The sequence below is a fragment of the Homo sapiens genome, chromosome 9 (assembly GCF_000001405.40).
Source record: "Homo sapiens chromosome 9, GRCh38.p14 Primary Assembly".
Lineage (NCBI taxonomy): Eukaryota > Metazoa > Chordata > Mammalia > Primates > Hominidae > Homo > Homo sapiens.
The window spans coordinates 116,452,500-116,472,564 of NC_000009.12; the positions used below are offsets into that span (position 1 = coordinate 116,452,500).

The 20,065-nt window shown below is 39.9% G+C and overlaps 1 protein-coding gene across 7 annotated transcripts in view, besides 4 other annotated features; it reads right to left on the minus strand.

The window, feature by feature from the left end:
- The window catches only part of ASTN2 (astrotactin 2), a 991,946-nt gene that overhangs the window by 29,388 nt on the left and 942,493 nt on the right, over positions 1–20,065 (minus strand). The gene's annotated exons all lie outside the window — the stretch shown is intronic.
- Positions 12,723–12,867: an enhancer, noted in NCBI's record as "145 bp enhancer 254 fragment used in the MPRA reporter construct; PK_construct_4213". NCBI's record gives its function as "activates an SV40 promoter by MPRA in K562 cells {active_cell/tissue: K562}" and the evidence as "EXISTENCE:reporter gene assay evidence [ECO:0000049][PMID:23512712]".
- Positions 12,787–12,804: a transcriptional cis regulatory region, noted in NCBI's record as "GATA motif; enhancer activity is reduced when this motif is scrambled". NCBI's record gives its function as "necessary for full MPRA enhancer 254 activity {active_cell/tissue: K562}" and the evidence as "EXISTENCE:site-directed mutagenesis evidence [ECO:0005528][PMID:23512712]".
- Positions 18,326–18,917: an enhancer, noted in NCBI's record as "NANOG-H3K27ac hESC enhancer chr9:119233104-119233695 (GRCh37/hg19 assembly coordinates)". NCBI's record gives its function as "activates a minimal SCP1, AML or CMV promoter by ChIP-STARR-seq in naive and primed H9 embryonic stem cells {active_cell/tissue: H9 hESC(naive and primed)}" and the evidence as "EXISTENCE:reporter gene assay evidence [ECO:0000049][PMID:30033119]".
- Positions 18,918–19,508: an enhancer, noted in NCBI's record as "NANOG-H3K27ac hESC enhancer chr9:119233696-119234286 (GRCh37/hg19 assembly coordinates)". NCBI's record gives its function as "activates a minimal SCP1, AML or CMV promoter by ChIP-STARR-seq in naive and primed H9 embryonic stem cells {active_cell/tissue: H9 hESC(naive and primed)}" and the evidence as "EXISTENCE:reporter gene assay evidence [ECO:0000049][PMID:30033119]".

Genomic DNA, 20,065 nt, shown 5'->3' on the forward strand with positions numbered 1-20,065 from the left:
TAGAGATTCCACACACATTTCCTGGGCACATACTCTGTATCAGACACAGTGCTAGAAGCTTTTACACAGTTGTCTTCTGTTTCCTTTACAACTGCCTAAGGGATGTGTATTATTAAATCCATTTTACAAGGAGGCAAGTGAGCCTTGGAAATTTGGATTGACTTTCCCAAGGCTACAGATATAGTAGTAGTTTAGCCAGGCCCCAACATAGGTCTACTTACTCAAAGTCCACTGCTCTTTCCAAATGGATAAAATTATTAGGCATTCATTGGTCCCAAGTGGGTCTTGAGTCACAGTTCAGAGGAAGTTAAAGTTTATTAGGAGGATGAACTCCATGTTCCCAACTTTTGACAAGGAAGAGATCTTACAACAGGAACACACTACTGCTCCTTTCAACACTGACATCACTTCTCTTCCCACATCTGACCCTAAAGCCCTTCTCTTCTTCCATGGTGCCTTTAAGATTGAATTTTGCCAAAGCCAAGCTCAGAGGAGGAGAGGCCAAGCAGAGGCCACCAACTTGGATTTACTCTTGGCCATTAAGTTAGGGAACATTATAGGCAGAATGGTTCTTATCTACTCAGTTCTGAGCTGAGCTCAGTTCCCATCTCATATGTGAGTTCTGCTTTCCATGGGTGGAGGGGTGGGAGTGGGACAAAGAAACAAGCCCTCTGCTTGGGGTCTAAAAGACTGAGTTTGCATCATGACTTTCTCCATTTCCTGTTTCTAACATCTCTGAGAGTCTTAGTTTTCCTATCTGTAAAATGGAGTCAACAATACTTGCCTCACAAGATTGTTGTAAGAATGAATAGCGCTGGGCGTGGTGGCTCACGCCTGTAATCCTAGCACTTTGGGAGGCAGAGGCGGGTGGATCACGAGGTCAGGAGATCGAGACCATCCTGGCTAACACGGTGAAACCCCGTCTCTATTAAAAATACAAAAAAATTAGCTGGGCGTGGTGGCGGGTGCCTGTAGTCCCAGCTACTTGGGAGGCTGAGGTGGAAGAATGATGTGAACCCAGGAGGTGGAGCTTGCAGCGAGCTGAGATCATGCCATTGCACTCCAGCCTGGGCAAAAGTGCGAGACTCCGTCTCAAAAAAAAAAAAAAAAAAAAAAAAAAAGAATGAATAGCATGAGAAACACCCAGAACAGTGCTTGGTACAATAAATGTTATCTTGCTTATCTTGCTTACTTATGATACTCAAGTAAGATAAAATGGAAACAGTGCATCTTTAAAATCAAATCCCTGCACAAAGGCAATGGTTCTGGAGGGTGTTGTTTTTCATAAGGTTTCATTAGAGCTCCAGTTCAGCCACAGCATGTATAAGCAAATCATGCCATGTTTGTGAGCTTCAGTTTCCTCATCAGTTACCCCATGACAGCAATATCCACTTTTGATCATAGTTAAGAAAACTAGAAACAATTTACACACTAGGCACTGGCTCAGCTGGAGCCTGAACTCAGGGCTGCCTGTTGTGACCTTGGGTGAATTTCTGCCCCATGGACTTTGCTTTCTTTTCCTATTTCACAATGGGTCACTAGATGTCTTCACTGGTGAATGATAGCAAATGTTAACTCCAGCTAGCGCCAATCTTCTGCAAGCTCTTCCAACAAGACAAAGGAAGAGGGAACACTGACAATGAATTCTATAAGGTGGTGTTATCATTATAGAATTTGTCTGATTAAAATCAGATGAAATCCAATATCCCTTATATAGATACAACAGAATACTAAACTAACCATACTGAACAACTATAAAAAAGACTATACCCTATGACAAAGTAGAATTTGATAACAGAGATATCAAAGTAGAAATAGATAATAGAGATATCTATTTTTACCCTTTCTATTCCATATTGTACTGAAGGTTCTAGACAAGACAATTCATCAAGGAAAAAAAAAAGCATCCAGATAATGTGGAGAAATAGGAACACTTTTACACTGTTGGTGGGACTGTAAACTAGTTCAACCATTGTGGAAGACAGTGTGGTGATTCCTCAAGGATCTAGAACTAGAAATACCATTTGACCCAGCCATCCCATTACATACCCAAATGATTATAAATCATGCTGCTATAAAGGCACATACACATATGTTTATTGTGGCACTATTCACGATAGCAAAGACTTGCAACCAACCCAAATGTCCATCAATGATAGACTGGATTAAGAAAATGTGGCACATATATACCATGGAATACTATGCAGCCATAAAAAAGGATGAGTTCATGTCCTTTGTAGGGACATGGACAAAGCTGGAAACCATCATTCTGAGCAAACTATCGCAAGGACAGAAAACCAAGCATCGCATGTTCTCACTCATAGGTGGGAATTGAACAATAAGAACACTTGGACACAGGGTGGGGATCATCACACACTGGGGCCTGTCGTGGTGTGGGGGAAGAGGGAGGGATAGCATTAGGAGATATACCTAATGCAAATGAAAAGTTAATGGGTGCAGCACACCAACATGGCACATGTATACATATGTAACAAACCTGCACATTGTGCACATGTACCCTAGAAATTAAAGTATAATAATAAAAAAAAAAAAGGTTTATGGTAGGAGGCTGGACACAGTGGCTCACGCCCATAATCCCAGCACTTTGGGAGGCCAAGGGAGGTGGATCACCTGAGGTCAGGAGTTCGAGACCAGCCTGGCCAACATGGTGAAACCCTGTCTCTACTGAAAATACAAAAATTAGCTGGGTGTGGTGACGCACGTCTGTAATCCCAGCTACTCAGAAGGCTGAGGCAGGAGAATTGCTTGAACCTGGGAGGCGGAGGTTGCAGTGAGCTGAGATTGTGCCACTGCATTCCAGCCTGGGTGACAGAGTGCGATTCTGTCTCAAAAAAAAAAAAAAAAAGAAAAGAAAAGAAAAACAGTTTACGGTAGGAAGTAATAGTTAATTGCTAATTTTTAAAACCCATGTGACATTTTCTTTACTACAAATTATTTAAGTTGTAAGATTATTAAATTTTCAGTTTAATACTAGTGTCCAAAAAGAAATAAGAAAATCAACAATATAAACATAAGACTATTCTCATGTCACTTCCAAAAGATATTATTTGGGCAAAATGATCAATGACTACATAATTTTGAAAAGGTGTCAATAACCTCTTCTTAGATTGAAGAAAAAGGTAATTTGGAAAATTCCCTGAAAGTACTACTACTGGTAAACTCTGAGTTTACTTTAACAGCAACAATAAAAAAGGCCCAAGCCATCCTTAAAATCTAAAAAGTAAAAAAAAAATAGCATCCAGATAAGAAAAAAAAAAGTAATACAATCTATTTTTGTAGAGACATAATTTTATATATGGAAAATAAAAAGGAGTCCATAAAATATTAGATATAAAACAGTTCATAGTTCAACACAATAAAACTATATACAATAGACACACAGCTAGTATTATACCAAATGGGGAAAAACAAAAAGCCTTTCCTTTAAGATCTGGAACAAGAAAGTGATGCCCACTCTCATCACTGTTACTCAACATAGTACTAGAAGCCTAGCTAGAGAAATCAGGTAAGAGAAAGAAATAATGGGCATCTAAATTGGAAAAAATGAAGTCAAATTATCCTTATTTGCAGATGATATGATCTTATATTTGAAGACACCTAAGATTCCACCAAGAAAAAAACTATTAGAACTGACAAAATCAGGAAAGTTGTAGGATACAAAATCAACATACAAAATAAGTAGCATTTCTACATGCCAATAATGAACAGTCTGAAAAAGAAACGAAGAAAGGAATCCCGTTTACAATAGCTACAAATAAAATGGAATAAATTTAACTGAAGAAGTGAAATATTTCTACAAAAAAATATAAAACATTGAGTCAAGAAATTGAAGAGGACACACAAAAATAGGAAAGATAATCCATGTTCATGGATTGAAAGAATAAAAAAAATCCATATTACCCAAAGCAATCTATAGATTCAATGCAATCCCTAGCAAAATACCAATGACATTTGTATTAGTCCATTTTCATGCTGCTGATAAGGACATACCTGAGACTGGGAAGAAAAAGAGGTTTAATGGACTTACAGTTCCACATGTCTGGGGAGGTTTCACAATCATGGTGGAAAGTAAGGTGGAGCAAGTCACATCTTACAGGGATGGCAGCAGGCAAAGAGAGAGGTGAACTCGTGCAGGGAAATCTCTTTTTATAAAATGATCAAATCTTGTGAGACTTATTCACTATCATGAGAACAGCACACGAAAGAATTTCCCCCATGATTCAATTATCTCCCACTGGTTCCCTCCTACAATACATGGAAATTCAAGATGAGATTTGGGTGGGGACATGGCCAAACCATATCAACATTGTTCAGATAAATAGAAAACAAATCCTAAAATTCCTGTGAAACCACCAAAGACACAAAATAGCCAAAGCTATCCTGAGCAGAGAGAACAAAACTGGAGGAATCACATTACCTAACTTCAAATTATACTACAGAGCTATAGTAACCAAAACTGCATGGTACTGTCATAAAAACAGACACATATATCAACAGAATAGAATACAGAACTCAGAAATAAATCCACACATCCACAGTTAACTCATTTTCAACAAAGGTGCCAAGAACACACATTGGGGAAGGAACAGTCTCTTCAGTAAATGGTGCTGAGAAAACTGGGTATCCATATATCAAAGAAAGAAACTAGAGTGCTATCTTTTACCATATGCAAAAATCAAATCAAAATAATTAAAAAAGTTACATCTAAGACCTCATATTACGAAACTACTACAAGAAAACACTGGGGAAACTCTCCAGGACATTGGTCTGAGCAAAGATTTCTTGAGTAATAGCCCAAAAGTATAGGCAACCAAAGAAAAAAATGAACAAATGGGATGATATCAAGTGAAAACTGCACAGCAAAGGAAACAATCAATAAGGTGAAAGACAGCCCACAGAATGGGAGAAAATATTTGCAAGCTATCCATCTGACAAGGGATTAATAACCAGAATATATAAGGAGCTCAAACAACTCAATACCAAAAAGATTCTAATAACCCCATTTAAAAATGGGCAAAAGATCTGAATAGACATTTCTCAAAAGAAGACATACAAATGGCAAACAGGTATATAAGTAAGTGCTCAACATCATTGATCATCAGAGAAATGCAAATCAAAACTACAATGAGATGTCATCTCACCCCAGTTAAAATGGCTTTTATCCAAAAGTCAGGCAATAACAAATGCTGACAAAGATGTGGAGAAAGGGAAACCCTCGTATGTTACTGGTGGAAATGTAAATTAATACGACCACTATGGGGAACAATATGGAGATTCCTCAAAACACTAAAGCTAGAACTACCATATGATCCGGCTATCCAAGGAAAGGTATACACCCAAAAGAAAGGAAATCAGTATATTGAAGAGACATCTGTACTCCCATGTTTATTTCAGCACTATTCACAATAGCCAAGATGTGGAAACAACCTGTGTCCATCAACAGACTAATGGATAAAGAAAATGTGGTACATATACACAATGGAGTAGTATTCAGCCATTAAAAAAAATGAGATCTTACCATTAGAAACAACATGGATGGAACTGGAGGACATTATGTTAAGTGAAATAAGCCAGGCACAGAAAGACAAACTTTGCATGTTCTCACTCATTTGTGAGAACTAAAATTAAAAACAAAAAAAAAATTGAACTAATCGAGCTAGAGGATAGAATGATAGTTGTTATCAGAGGCTAGGAAGGGCAGTGGAGAAGAAGGGGAAAAGAGGGGTTGGTTAATAGGCACAAAAATATAATTAGATAAAATGAATAACATCTAGTATTTGATAGCAAAAGAGAGTGACTACAGTCAACAATTTACTGTATATTTAAAATAACTAAAAGAGCATAATTGAAAAGTTCATAACACAAAGAAATAATAAATGCTTGAGGTGATGGATTCCTCATTTACCCTGATGTGATTATTACACATCGCATACTTGTATCAAAATATCTCATGTACCTCATAAATATATACACCTACTATGTACCCATAAAAATTCGAAATAAAAAAAATTAAAAAATAAGTTCAGTCAAGCAGGTTACAAGATTAATATACAAAAATCAACTGTATTTCTATTTACTAGCAATGAACAATCAGAAAATAAAATTTGAAAACCATTCCTTTGTGCAGTATTAAAAACTGTATTTACAGAATTAAAAAAAACACTTAGGAATAAATTTAACAAAAGAAGCATAAGACTTGAACACTAAAAACTACAGAATATCATTCAAAGAAATTAAAGAAGGCCTGTGTAAATGTGAAGACATCCTGTATTCATGGACTGGAAGGCTTAACACTGTTAAACTGGAAATATTCCCAAATTTATCTGTAGATTCAAAATCTCTATTAAAATATCCGATGATTTGTTTTACAGAAATTGACAAGCTGCTCCTAAAATTCACATGGAAATGAAAGGCATCCAGAATAGCCAAAACAATATTTAAAAAGAAAAAAAAGCTGGAGTACTTATACATTCTGATTTCAAAATTTATTACAGAGCTATGGTAATCAAGACTGTGAGACACCAGTATGAGGACAGATGTAGATCAATGAAATAAAATTGACAGCCCAGAAATAAACTCATACATTTATGGTCAATTGTTTTTCAAGGAGGGTGCCAAGAAAATACAGTGGGGACAGAATACTCTCTGTAACAAAAGACTCTTTATCAAATGGAACACTTGGGTAGCCTCGTCAAGTGAATAAAGTGGGACCCCTATATCACACCATGTATAAAAATTAAAATAGGTCATTAAAGACCTAAATGTAAAGGCTAAAACTATAAAACTGTAAGAAGAAGACATAAGAGAAAATCTTTAAGACCTTGGATTAGGCAGTAGTTTTCTTGGATATTACATTAAAAGCATAAGCAAACAAAAAACATACATAAATTGGACTTTATCAAAATTTAAAACTTTTGTGCCTCAAAGAACACTATCAAAAAAGTCAAAAGACAACTCATAAAATTAGATAAAATGTTTACAGATTTCATATCTCATAAAGGTGTCATGTCTAGAATATATAAAGTAGCATTACAACTGAACAATTTACGAAGCACAATTTAAAAATGGACAAAAGATTTAGACATTTCTCTAAAAAAAAGACATTCAAATGGCTAATAAGCACATGAAAATATGCTTGACATCATGTTATTAGGAGAATGCAAATAAAAACCACAATGAGACACCACTTCATACCCACTAAAATAGCGATAGTCAAAAAGACACAAAATAGCAAGTGTTAGCAAGGATATGGAGAAATTGAAATCCTCATATATTGGTGGTGGAAATGCAGAACGGTGCAGCCATATTGGAAAACAGTTTGGTAGTTCCTCTCAAAGTTACACACAGAGTTATCATATGACCCAGCAATTCCATTCCAAGCTATCTAACCAAGAGAACTGAAAACGTATCTCCACAGAAAGACTTGCATAAAAATTTTCATAGCAACATTATTCACAACAGCCAAAAAGTGAAAAATGACCCAATATCCATCAACTGATGAATGAATAAACGAAAGGTGGTATATCTAAATAACTGAATATTACTTGCCATAAAAAGGAATGAAGTCCTTATTCAAGCTACAATATTCACTGAGCCTTGAAAACATGCTAAGTGAAAGAATCCAGACACAAAGGACATATATTGCATGATTCCACTTATATGAAATGTCCACAATAGGCAAATTCCTAGAGATAAAAAGTAGATTAGTGGTTGCCAGGGGTTGGGAGGAAGGGGCAATGGAAATGACTGTTAATGGGTTACAGAGTTTCTTTTTCGGGTGATGAAAATGTTCTGGAATTACTTGTGATGGTTGTGCAACTTTGTTAATATCTATAACATAAAATCCACTGAATTGTAGCCTTAAAAAGGTGAATTTCATGGTATGTGAATTATATGTCAAACAAACAGAAAAACCAAAACCAGTGGAGTCAGGAGGATCCTGCCTCGTTAATGATGGCATGGTTCTCCTTTATCTTTAGCTTTTTTATTTTTGAGTTTGAGCAACATCTCCCACCCCAACCCTTTGCGCGTATTTCCTCATTTAAGTAGAAAGTGTTACTTATAGAGGAAATATGGAACCTTCAGTGAAATCTTAAGTGAATAGCTATGGCTTTTTAAAATTTGTAAATGTAGGATCCGAGGATTGCAAAGGAACTATATGGTGCAGAGTTTAGGGTCATGGATGTATAAGCGGGGAAAGTTCTTTGTTTAAAGATGGTCTCTGCTGCTTGCAGGCTTGTGACACTGGGTGAGTACTTGGTCTCCTCCAGCCTTAGTTTCTTTGTCAGTAAAATAAACAGAGTTCCATCTGCCACACTGGGCTGTTAGGAGGATTCTGTAGCGTAGATAAGATGCCCTTAGCCCATTTCTTAACAAATGGTAACAGCACAATACATAGTTATTATAGAACAACCATTCTTAATGATCCTCATCAGCATTTCCTATTTTTTGGCTAAACAGAAATAATTGTATTCAATCTAGTGGGGGAATTCACCTTGAACCTCTGGCATGTTCCCAATAATGTGCACATCCTCCTCTCTCTGCCTGGAATAATTTCTCCCCAGTTCCTTCCCTCACCTCCTTTTCCATGAAGTTCCCTTTTTAAATTTTGACCATACCCCAAATGGTACATTTCAAATACAATTTACCCAGCTTTATTTTTCCTTCACAAGATTTATAATCTTCTAATATATTATATAATTTACTTATTTATTATATTTATTGATTTTATTTTCCACTCCCACTTGAATACAAAATTCATGAGAACAGGATTTAGTCTGTTTTATTCACTAATATATCCCCAGTGCCAAAAATTGTGCCAGACCACATAGTAGGACCTCAAAAACTGTTCTTTGAATATATGTGTGTGTAAAATACACATATTTATATACATGTATACGCATATATATATGTACACATATATAGGTGTATACTTGTTTATATGTACACACATGCACACACACATATAAAAATCTGTGCACCTAGATTGTGGTCTCTCCTACATAAAAGCTATCCATGGCATCTCACTCCTAGAATATTATTTCTTCCCTCTTCATCTGGGACCATGTGATTTTTTTCCATCCAGTGAACTGTGGGTTAAGATTTCGTATGCCTTCTCCAGCCTTCTCTTCCCATCTCATAGGCCAATGTATTCCAGAAGGTATATTCATGATTCAATAGAGGGCCTCCATCAGTGTGGATCCCTGAGTGACTGTTGGAATAGAGCTTCCTGCCAACCTGTAGTAGGTATGTCCAGTGAGTGACGATTAATGCTTTGTTATGTTATGCACTAAAGTTTTTGTGTTAACTCAGCATAGCTTAGCCTATCCTGACTTACGCATGCCTCATTCACAGATGGACGACAACAGTGAGAAACCCATTCTAGAACTATTGATCACACAACCATGTATTTTGCACATATTTTAGGTCAGGCATCTTGCAAGGAGCTTTAAATGAATTGCCTCTGATCCTCATGTTGGCCTGTTAAATAATGGTTATTATCACCATTTTATAATTGAAGAAACTAAAGCTCTGGTTTGGCATGATTTGCCCAAGCTCATCCAACCGGTAATTGGCAAGCCAGGGTTTAAACCCAAGCCTGATTCTAAAGACCACTCTCTTTCTGCTACAATTTGAGCCCCCATGGGACATTTTTAAAATGTCCTCATATGTAAAACCTTTGAACTGATGAAGCACATATAATGTGCTAGGAGGCTATCTAACTTCACCACAATCCCATGAAGTAGGTTTTATCATTGTCTTCCTTTTACACAGGAAGAAATGGGAGCACAGTGAGCTTCAGCAACTTGCCCAGTATGTCCTGGCTAGGATATACAGAGCAATGATTCAAACCCAAACAGCTTGGCTTCAGAGCCAGGGCTCTTAACCTTCTGCCATGCTACATCTCAATTCTTTGGGAATCCCTGTCTTAATCCATGCCATGCAATAATAATCCTGTATTCTTCTTGAAAAGTACAGAGAAAGGAGAATTTCTTGCCTTACAAGGGGCAGGTGTAGAAAAATCACCAGGATTATACTGTGGAATAAAGAATGTCTGAAATGAAAGTTCAATGCTTTACTCTAAACTCACTGTTGACTCCCTGACTCTTCAAGCCGATAAGCTCAAAGAGGTCAGTAGGTTTGGTGATAATATAGGAACGATGGGATAATATTCTTTTCCTTGGGTTAAGGGAAGTTCTAGCTTTTTACCTCAACAGGCCTTCTTATCCTCCTAGGATTGCTCTTTAAGGGTAAGTGTTGGGTGAGCATGTGTGTGTGTGTGTGTGTGTGTGTGTGTGTGTGTGTGTGTGTCTGCCCATATATACAATTTGCATATGGCAATCTGAAGTAAATTTCTAACTAATATTACCTGCTAGTCACTGGATATCTCCTTTGGATGTCCAAAGACATCTTAATCTCCTGCCTTCACACTCCTCACATCCCCCAAAACTGTTCTTCCTGTCATCCTCCCCATCATGGTGAATGGCAGCAGCATCCATTTAGTCACTCAGTCATGCCCTGGGTATCATCCCCAACCCTTCCCTCTGTCTCACTCCCATATTCAATCAGTTTCCAAGTTCTATTAAGTCTATACTTCAACAATTTCTCAAATGTACCCGCCTTTTTCTCCATTGCAACTGCTCTAGTTCAGGCTGCAACCATTTCTCACCCGGCCAATTAGAACCATCTCCCAACCAGTCTCTCAGGCTTCTCCCTTACATCCCACACCACCCTAATCTGTTCATCACACTTCTCCAAGGGTCTTTTTCTGAAATGGTTATCCAGTGCTGTCCTACCTCAAAGCTCTTCGATCTCTCCCCACCATCCATAACATAAAAACTATTCTCCCTAAGCTGGTTCACAAAGGGATTTGACATCAGGACTTTATCTCCTAACTCCTGCCATCCTCCTCTCAACTTCTCAGCCTTCATTATATGCTTCAGCAATACCAAACAACATATTGTTTCTCAAGCATGCCATTGTCCCTCAGCCTATGGGCTTTTGCTGTGTCCCTGCTGAATGTTCTCTCTGCCTATAATGCCTGTCACCTCTCTGGGGCACTTCCATTCCTTCACATGTCCCTCCCTCTGGGAAGCCTTCTCTGACAGTTGAATTAAACTAATGTAAGGGGTATAGTTTTAGTATGGAAAAGAAGACAGCTCCCTCTCCTGTGCTTTTCTTAGTGTCTTGCAAATAACTTCATTATAGTTACATTGTGTTTCCTACTCTATCTTCTCCACTACGCTGTGAGCTCCTGAAAGGCCAGGGCTGCATGTTATCTGTCTGTTTGTTTTCTTGAGACAGGGCCTCAGGGTCTTGCAATCCTGCTACCTCAACCCTTGAGTAGCTGGGATCACAGGTGCATGCCACCATGAACAGAGTTTTGTGTTTTTTTTTTTTTTTTTTTGAGAGAGACAGGGTTTCATTATGTTGTCCAGGCTGGCCTTGAACTCCTAGTCTCAAGTGATCTTCCCACCTCGGCCTCCCAAAGTGCTGAGATTAAAGGTGCCAGCCACCATTCTCAGCCATTTCTGTCTCTATATAGCCAGAATCTGACACATAGCAGAGGAGTATTAAAGATATGTTGAATAAGTAAACAAATTAATGGTTGAATGTATATTTGTCAGTGTGTGGACATTATGACAAATGTCATAATGTATAGCTATATAAACAAATATATATATATATCTGTATGTCTGAGGCTGTGTATCCCTAAGCCTGGTAATAATATGGGAGGATGGGTAAGTGTGGCACCCATGTATGTGAAGTGGCAATGCAGCACAGAGTTATGCACTTGGTTTTCTAAGTCATATAGATTTTTGTGAGGATTATTTGTTTGCTATTCACTAATTGTGATTTGAACACAATAGCATCATCTCTCTAGGACTCACTTCCATCAATGGTAATGCATAGATATTGATGTTACTAGTGTCCTGGAATCATTGTAAAATACTAGTAAAGGCTTAGCAGAGTGACTGGCCCACAGCATTCAATATGTTGGTTATAATTATCTTCCTTGAGAGCAGTTATGTGGTCCATTCATGTATGGATGTTTGTGCTGAAGCATATCCCTGAGTATTGAGTATTCATGTAGCTGTGTGCATGTTGCATATATGGGAGTGGGGGTAGAATATGAGAAACTGCATGACTAACATATTGAGTTCTGTGTGCCAGTTGAGTCTCCAGAGAGCCTTTGTACTGGGCAATTTTGTTTCTGTTTTTTGTTTGTTTCCCATCTCTTACTGCTTTGAAGCTTGCTCTCTGGGACACACTGCTGGGGTCTCTACTTGCCTATAGGGATCAACTTACCATTTCTTCCCATCAACCACTCACTGATAAGTAAGTGTGAGGCACAATGGGTGCGATATGCCTGATGTCTATTTTCCTAAGAAACTTGCAAAGAAGGTGCCTCTTCAACCCAACTGTTGCAGACTATATGAAGAGGCTCAGAGCAGGTCACTGCAGGTCTTTCCCTGTAGTCGTTATGGAGGGAATGACCTAGATATGGACCCGGCTCTGTGCTTCTGCCTAATGTTAATAGGGAGGATGTCACATTTGAGCATACCCTTAGCACACCTGCCTGAGATGTGGCAGAGCACAAGTTTAAAATCCAAGTCTGTCTGCCTCCACCACGAAGGCTGCATACTCTCTATCATGCTGTCCCTTTTCACTACAGCCAGCAGGTTTGATTGTTGCTTTGAACTCAGGCGACCCTGTGCAGCCTTTGTCTAATATCTCAGAGCCCCAGCCACCAACCGGCTCCCTTTGCCCCATGAAGATAAGCCTTTCTGGTCGACTGGACACATCAGCCTTAGAAACCTTGAGTTACCAGAATGGGAGCAACTGGCTGGCTGGGTACGGTTGGGGCATCCGGCCCTGATAAGACCTCGCCACGGCTGGACAAGCTCTCAGAGACGTAAGGCTTTGCGTAAGCACAAGATTAGAAGAACACATTATTAAAATATTTATTTTCTTACAGGTATTGATTGACATAAAAGGGGGGAAGAGTTCCCAGGAGAGAGATAACATCCAGTGGTACTTTTTGTGACTTGGTTTTGAACATATCGTTATACAGAAATTAAATTACTATTAATAATAAATAATAACAATACAAGCTGCAAGTTGTCAGCTGGAAGCAGCTGCAGTTTCCATTTGCTTACATATGAAACTAAGGATCATGGCGCAAATTTAAAAGTAAGCAAGCAAACAAACACAAACCCACTTTGCTCTGCGGATTAGACTAATGCAGATTCAGGAGAGTGGCTGTGTTTTAGGCGAGATGGGAGGGGCAGAATGGGGCTGAGAAGGCTACTTGATGAGTAGTCTTCAAGTGTGTCTTTAATTTCCTTTAGGAGAAAATAAAGAGCTCTGAAGCAAATGTGACAGTACTGACATGCAGTAATCCTGAATAATGACACGTGGTGGCTTATTGTACTTTCTCCATACTTTATTTTATTTCAGTATTCATGATTAAAACAAATGAACACATCCCTGACACCTATCAATTTATACTTTGCAAAGCGTATTGCACAAATAACCTTGAAAGCAAGACAAAGCAGGGTTTATTGCCCACATTTTACATTCAGTGAACTTGCTGTTTGCGGGGAGGGTGGGAAGCGGGCTTTTGAATCAAGGACGCATAGTGGAAGAGTGATAGAGCTGGTACTTAATCAACTGCTGGTCCAGGGCTCCTTATGCTGCATTCACCTTGACTTTGAAGACAAAACTGTTCCCCCTCTTGCAGAAAAATCTCTGTGAGGTTTGCATTGGTCCAAGGACTAAGACAGCATTAAGGCACTTCAGATCTCTAGCTTCTTGGCCAGTCCAGCCACCTTCTCTTATCTCTGCTCTGCAACAATGAGTCTTGACGTCATTGGCTCAGCAAACGTTTCTCAAAGGCTAGATATGAGGCTGGAACTTCTAGGCAGTTCCTTACAGCAGCCTGCTTCACAATTCCTACCAGCCCATTCTCTCTGTGACCTTCCTCACCTATTCTCTTTTCATAAATTTGGTTGCTGCCTCCAAGTAGGGTTTTCTACCTTCCCACACCTTCCTCAGACAGAACATCCAGTGTAAGATGAGGCAATGCAGGGCAGAAGTTCAGGTCCAGAGTTTTGGCATCAGAATGACCTAGATATGGACCCGGCTTTGTGCTTCTGCCCAGTGTTAATAGGGAGGATGTCACATTTGAGCATACCCTTAGAGAATAAATATGTGTTAGGTAAATAAAGGCAGGAGGAGGTCATGCCTGGTGCTAAAAACTTCCTTGTTCTCCCAAGCTTTTTTTTCTCCATAACCCATGATTTGTGGGGCTTCTGTTTTCTCATCTGTAGAATGGGGATAATAAGACTCTGAGAATAACATTTTTTGCTATCAGTTTTGTTTGTTTTCCTTACCCAGACATTGTTACGCCTTCTTTTGGAAGCATGGTACCTATAGCCACTGACGAACTATTTCTGCAGTTCTCAATGTGGTTTGGGTGGGACTGTTCCTCTCATGTTCCTGCCTCTCACCAGAGGAGTGGTGACATCAGCCAAGCAAGGCAGCAAGAGTCCCTTCTTGAGGATTGATAGGGGTGCTGGAAAAGGGGTTTGGTGTGTTTCTTTCTTTCTGAGATTAAAAGCATGAAGGACTATCAAAGTCTACAGTTGCTAGGTTCCATCTTCATACCCCTCATAAGGAAAACTCACTTTAGAATGCAGCCAGCACACAGCAAACTTGAGGAAAGAGATAGAGAGAGAGAGAGTCCTTTTTTTTCTTCTTTTGAGACAGAGTCTCGCTCTGTCACCAGGCTGGAGTGCAGTGGTGCGATCTTGGCTCACTGCAACCTCCCCCTCCCGGGTTCAAGCAATTCTCCTGCTTCAGCCTCCCAAGTAGCTGGGACTACAGGCGCACGCCACCACTTCCAGCTAATTTTTGTATTTTTAATAGAGACAAGGTTTCACCATGTTGGCCAGGATGGTCTCAATCTCTTGACCTCGTGATCCGCCTGCCTCAGCCTCCCAAAGTGCTCGGATTACAGGCGTAAGCCACTGCACCCGGCCGAGACAGAATCTTACGACGTCATTTGAACTCCTGGATTCAGCTGGGGCTGAAGTCAGCACACTGTTAGACTTCCCAGTTATATAAGCAGATACATTCTATTTTCCTTAACAACTTTCATTTGAGTTTCTGTCCGTTGCCTCCAAGAGTCTAAACTCATGTAAATATCCTTTATAAAGTTGTTGTGATGATTAAACAAGATAATGTTTTTAAATCACACATTAAACTTAATATCTGGCACATTTCTAAATATTCAAGAAATGGTAGGGTAGGTAGTTGTTATCATTAGCAGGACTGTAGTGAACTCTTTTCCCAGAATGAAGTTTGCTCCTACGATTGGCTCTGCAGCTCAGCCTAGTGATGAGCAAACAAAACCTCTGTCACTGCCTGGCCACACAACGTTGGCTAGGTCTCTTTCTACCTGGTGCAGAACCAAATTTCCAGGCTCTGGGAAAGACCCATACCTGTTCAGAAAGGACTAGCTTCTCATTCCTCTGAGTGTCAGTACTGAGGACATGAAGCCGTGAATGACACTATCATTATCAATACTTTACTTGCTGTTATCCCCACTGGAATGTGAGGTTTCTGGGGAAAGAAACCACAACTCATTCTTCTTTCAACCCTGCTAGCCTCTCATATACTAGTGGCACTCCCAAAGGCTTTCTTTCCTTTTTCAGAAAGAGATGAGAGCTAATTACCTATAAAAATTAGTAAGGAAGAAATGGGGACTTTTGCCAACTCAAATAGGCTTACTTATTGTTTATCCTCCACAGGACAGTTATAGTACATAGGACGTGTTAGGAGAAAGTTTCCTGGTTGTCACCAGTACTACTCTACCTTGGGCCCACCTAAGAGGCAAGGAATTGGAGTAGAGTTCTTACCAACCAGCATCAGGAAGGATGCTCATGTACACAGAGGAATTGTCTGTGGCTCATCTCTCACCCTCTGTTAATCTGACACTGAAGATTTTAATCTCCCTTCTTTCTTCCAACTCTTGCCTACACTAGCCCTCACTGGCTCTCATCCAGGCTTTGGGAACAGCTTCCCAAATTACTTCCTATAGTTTTGTCACACCTCTAATCTGTTGCTAGTGTATTAGCCAGAGTGATCTTCCTAAAGAGCAAATCTGACAATGTCAACTGAGCAGCCGGCTCATGACCCTTAATAGCTCTCTTTACTTTCAAGATAAAGTCCACACTCCTTAGGTTGGCAAAATAGTCCCTTATGATTTGAGCTCTACCAACTTCTTTCATCATCCGAATTTGTTCCTTTGCACCATAATAACTTGAGTAGGGGTTGCAAATGTGCCATGTTGCCTTGCTTCTCAGTAACTTTGCACATATGACCTCCTCTTCTTGGAAAATCATGTTTCCTTTTCTTGGTATCTGCATCTTAGTAATTCTGATCATTCTTTAAAACTTAAATAAAATGTCATCCTTTCTAGGCAGCTTTCACTGGGCTGAAAGGCATTCTCTCGTCTGAACTCTCATATCATTGACCACATTTCATCGTGAGTTCCATGGAAGCAGAGACAATGTCTCGTTCATCTCTGGGTTCCAAGAATGTAGTGCTGAGTTGTACAGAGAAAAAGGTACTCAAAAACTAATAGAATAAACAAACGTTAAATGTTAATAGGGAGGGTGTCACATTTAAACATACCCTTAGAGAATAAATGTGTGTTGGATAAATAAAGGCAGAAGGAAGTCATCCTGGCTGCTAAAAACTTCCTTGCTCTCTCAAGTGGTTTTTTTTTTCCATAGTCCATGATCTATATGACGTCATAGAACCAGTTCACCAATTTCAATTGGCTTGTGGTATAGTGGTTTATGTATACAACTGGCTCCTCCCAGCAGAATAGAGAACTTTTTAGGGCAAACCCTGCCTCATTCCCCTGTGCCCCTTATAAAGCTCAGCAGGAGGGAATATAGTTCAGCGGGTCAGAGCCTGAGCTCTGAGGTCGGTCAGAAAAGACCTGCTTTCAAATGCTAGTTCTGCCACTTATTCCCTCAGTGACTTTGGCCAATTTATTGAACCTTCATGAGCCTTCATTTCTTCATCTCTAAAGTGAGAGGGGAAAAGTATCTGCCTAATAATTCTAGCTATGCTAAAATGTGATATTGCATATATTCACTTATGTATACAATACATACTTATTGAGTGTCTCTGTGTTTGTGCAATTGAGTGTACACAGATAAAACAAACACTATACCCCATAAACTGTCAAGTCTAACAGGGAACGTTAATACACACATAAATCTGTATTGTAATGTTTGATAATTGCAATAAAGAAAGGAGGTGAGGTACATAATTTAGATTATGGGTTCTGGGGATGCCATTCTGAGGATGTAGATTTAGGCTGAGGCTGGGCACGGTGGCTCACGTCTGTAATCACAGCACTTTAGGAGGCCGAGGTGGCAGGATCACCTGAGGTCAGGAGTTCGAGACCAGCCTGACCAACATGGCAAAACCCGCCTCTACTAAAAATACAAAAATTAGCTGGGCATGGTGGTGGGCACCTGTAATCCCAGCTACTCAGGAGGCTGAGCCAGGAGAATTGCTTGAACTGGGGAGGCAGAGGTTGCAGTGAGCCAAGATCACACCACTGCACTCCAGCCTGGGTGACAGAGCGAGACACCATATCAAAAATAAAAATAAAAAATAAAAAAAATAAAAAGATTTAGGCTGAACACTGAAGGATGAATAGTGTTAACCCAGGGAAAAGATTCGGCGTGTTCTGAGGCCCTGTGAAGGGGAAGAGCGCATGCTGTGGTGTGAGCTAGGCTCCTTAAATGCTAATGTGACTTCTGGGGATGCTGGATCAGTTAATAACTAGGAAGTTAGACTCTAGAGACAAACTGTCTGAGTTCACATCCTGGCTCTGCTACTGACTTGTGGCATGGCTTTTGGTAAATTTTTTTGACTTCTTTGGGCTTTGGTTTTCTCATCTGCAAAATAGTGATAATAAAAAAACACTGTCTCATTGAGAAGGGTGGATGGATTAACTTACAGAAATTATTTAGAATGGTGCCTGGTATATTGAAAGCACTCTTTATATAATAGCCATTCATATCATTGATTCTTTTATTTGCACTCCAAAGTATTTACATGAACACTCTTCACTGAAGAGAAGGCAAAAGTCCTACCTGAAGAAAGCATATTCATATTGTGGAGTGAAGATGAATAAGGGAAATTATGGGAAGTTAAATAAAGTCCAATAAAGCACCCAGAACTCATTTGTCCTCTCTGTAAATGGCATGATTCTTGCCTCTAAAAATGGCATATTTCATAATGCCAATGCTTTATGGTGGGTACTCTCCTTGGCCTGCCATTGGTTACCTACATTGGGACAAGGGTATTGAGATTCCTGGAAGAAAGTTATAACTCTAAGACGATGTATTGTTCAAAAATTAACAAGACTAAAGCAAAAACAAACAAATGAAAAATCTCTGGGGTTTCCTCTCCTTTTTCTTTTTTAAAATGATTTTTTAAATTGATTTAATATCTGTGTAGAAGCCAGCAAAATTGCTGTTTACTTATCCTGTAGCTTCTGAGTGTCTTCTTTGCCCCTTTGCTCTCTCTCTTCCCCCTGTTACAGGCTATAGATATGATTAAGAAAGATCTATGTAATGGTGTTAAGTTACTACACTCTTTGGAGGAGAGATTTCTGGGGACAGGCCTGCGATAAGGGTGAGAGGAGTTGGATCCAGTCGTGAGAGTCAGATAGGCAGCTCACCCACACACAACCTCTCCACAAGCGAGACAGCTTCCCGGCCTTTCTTGCTTGTTTTAATCTGTGAATGTTTCCCAGAAAGAAATAGTAACTTCTTTTTCTGGCAGGGGTGCCTCCTGAAACTCCCTGAAAACAGGGCCTCTCCCTCCCCTTCAGGCTGGCCTCACACATGCTAATGCAAATCAGTCCTGACCCAGCCAGGGGTCTTTGGGAAGGCTGCCAGGAGCTTTAGAACAAACACGCGAAGAATGTTATTTCATTTCTGGCATCCCGGGGAAAGAGGGACAGAGAAGGAAGTTGGGCAGTAAAGGGGGTGGAGGGAGGGGGGAATTCATATGAATGCTTACTGCAATAAGAGTGAAGCAAATGGAAAGGACAGCAGGAAATTCTTAGGAATAAAGGGCCTACTAGGTGCCAGAAATGGACATATGGAATATTTGGTTTTAATTTCACACATACACTCTGAAGAAGAATTTATTACTCTCACTTTTTGGATGCAGGAAGAGGCTTGGTCTCCAAGGTTAGGCAATTTTTCAAAGGCTACCCAGCTAAGAACTGAGGGAGTCAGAATTTGAAACCAGATTTTTACATTTCAAACCTTGGGCTCTGTCTTCTCACTAAGGCTGGCTTACTGGTTGTGCTTTGATAGATTCCCAACAAAACCCGCGAGTGCAACAGCCCCACATGCCATGACCTCCATCGTCTGTCTCCTCCTTTCCAGCCCCCTGCATGGTTCTAATTCCAGATTCATTCAGCCAGACCCCGAGCTAGTCTCCCTACCTGCAGTCTCCTCTATTCTAACTTATACACCACGAAGATCTTTCTATAACCCAACTGTGGCCTTATCACTGCTCCTCCTTAGCACACGTTATGAGGCCTTGCAAGTCCTGCCTCTCCAACCTCATATACTGTACATTTCAACTGCCCTGAATCTCTGTTGTACCCCATATGTGGTCCCTTCAATATCCTACCTCCCTGCCTTCATTTCAGCTATTCCTTCTGCCTGTGATGCAATAACTTCCCCAGTTCTAAGTGTTCAATGCTATCCATTCTTCCAGACCTAGCTCAAAGGCACCTCCCCAAAGGCACACTAGCTGTTAGAGATCACAGCCTCCTCAGAACTCGCATGCCTTTATTATGGGGCAAATCACCTTCTACCCCCAATATGATTAGCTGCTTAAAAGTTTGTCCCTAACACTGGGCAAAGCTCTTTCAGTCTCAGCCATAAGACTTTGAATTGCAGCTTGGTCACTGCCTAAGAGAGAAGTGCAT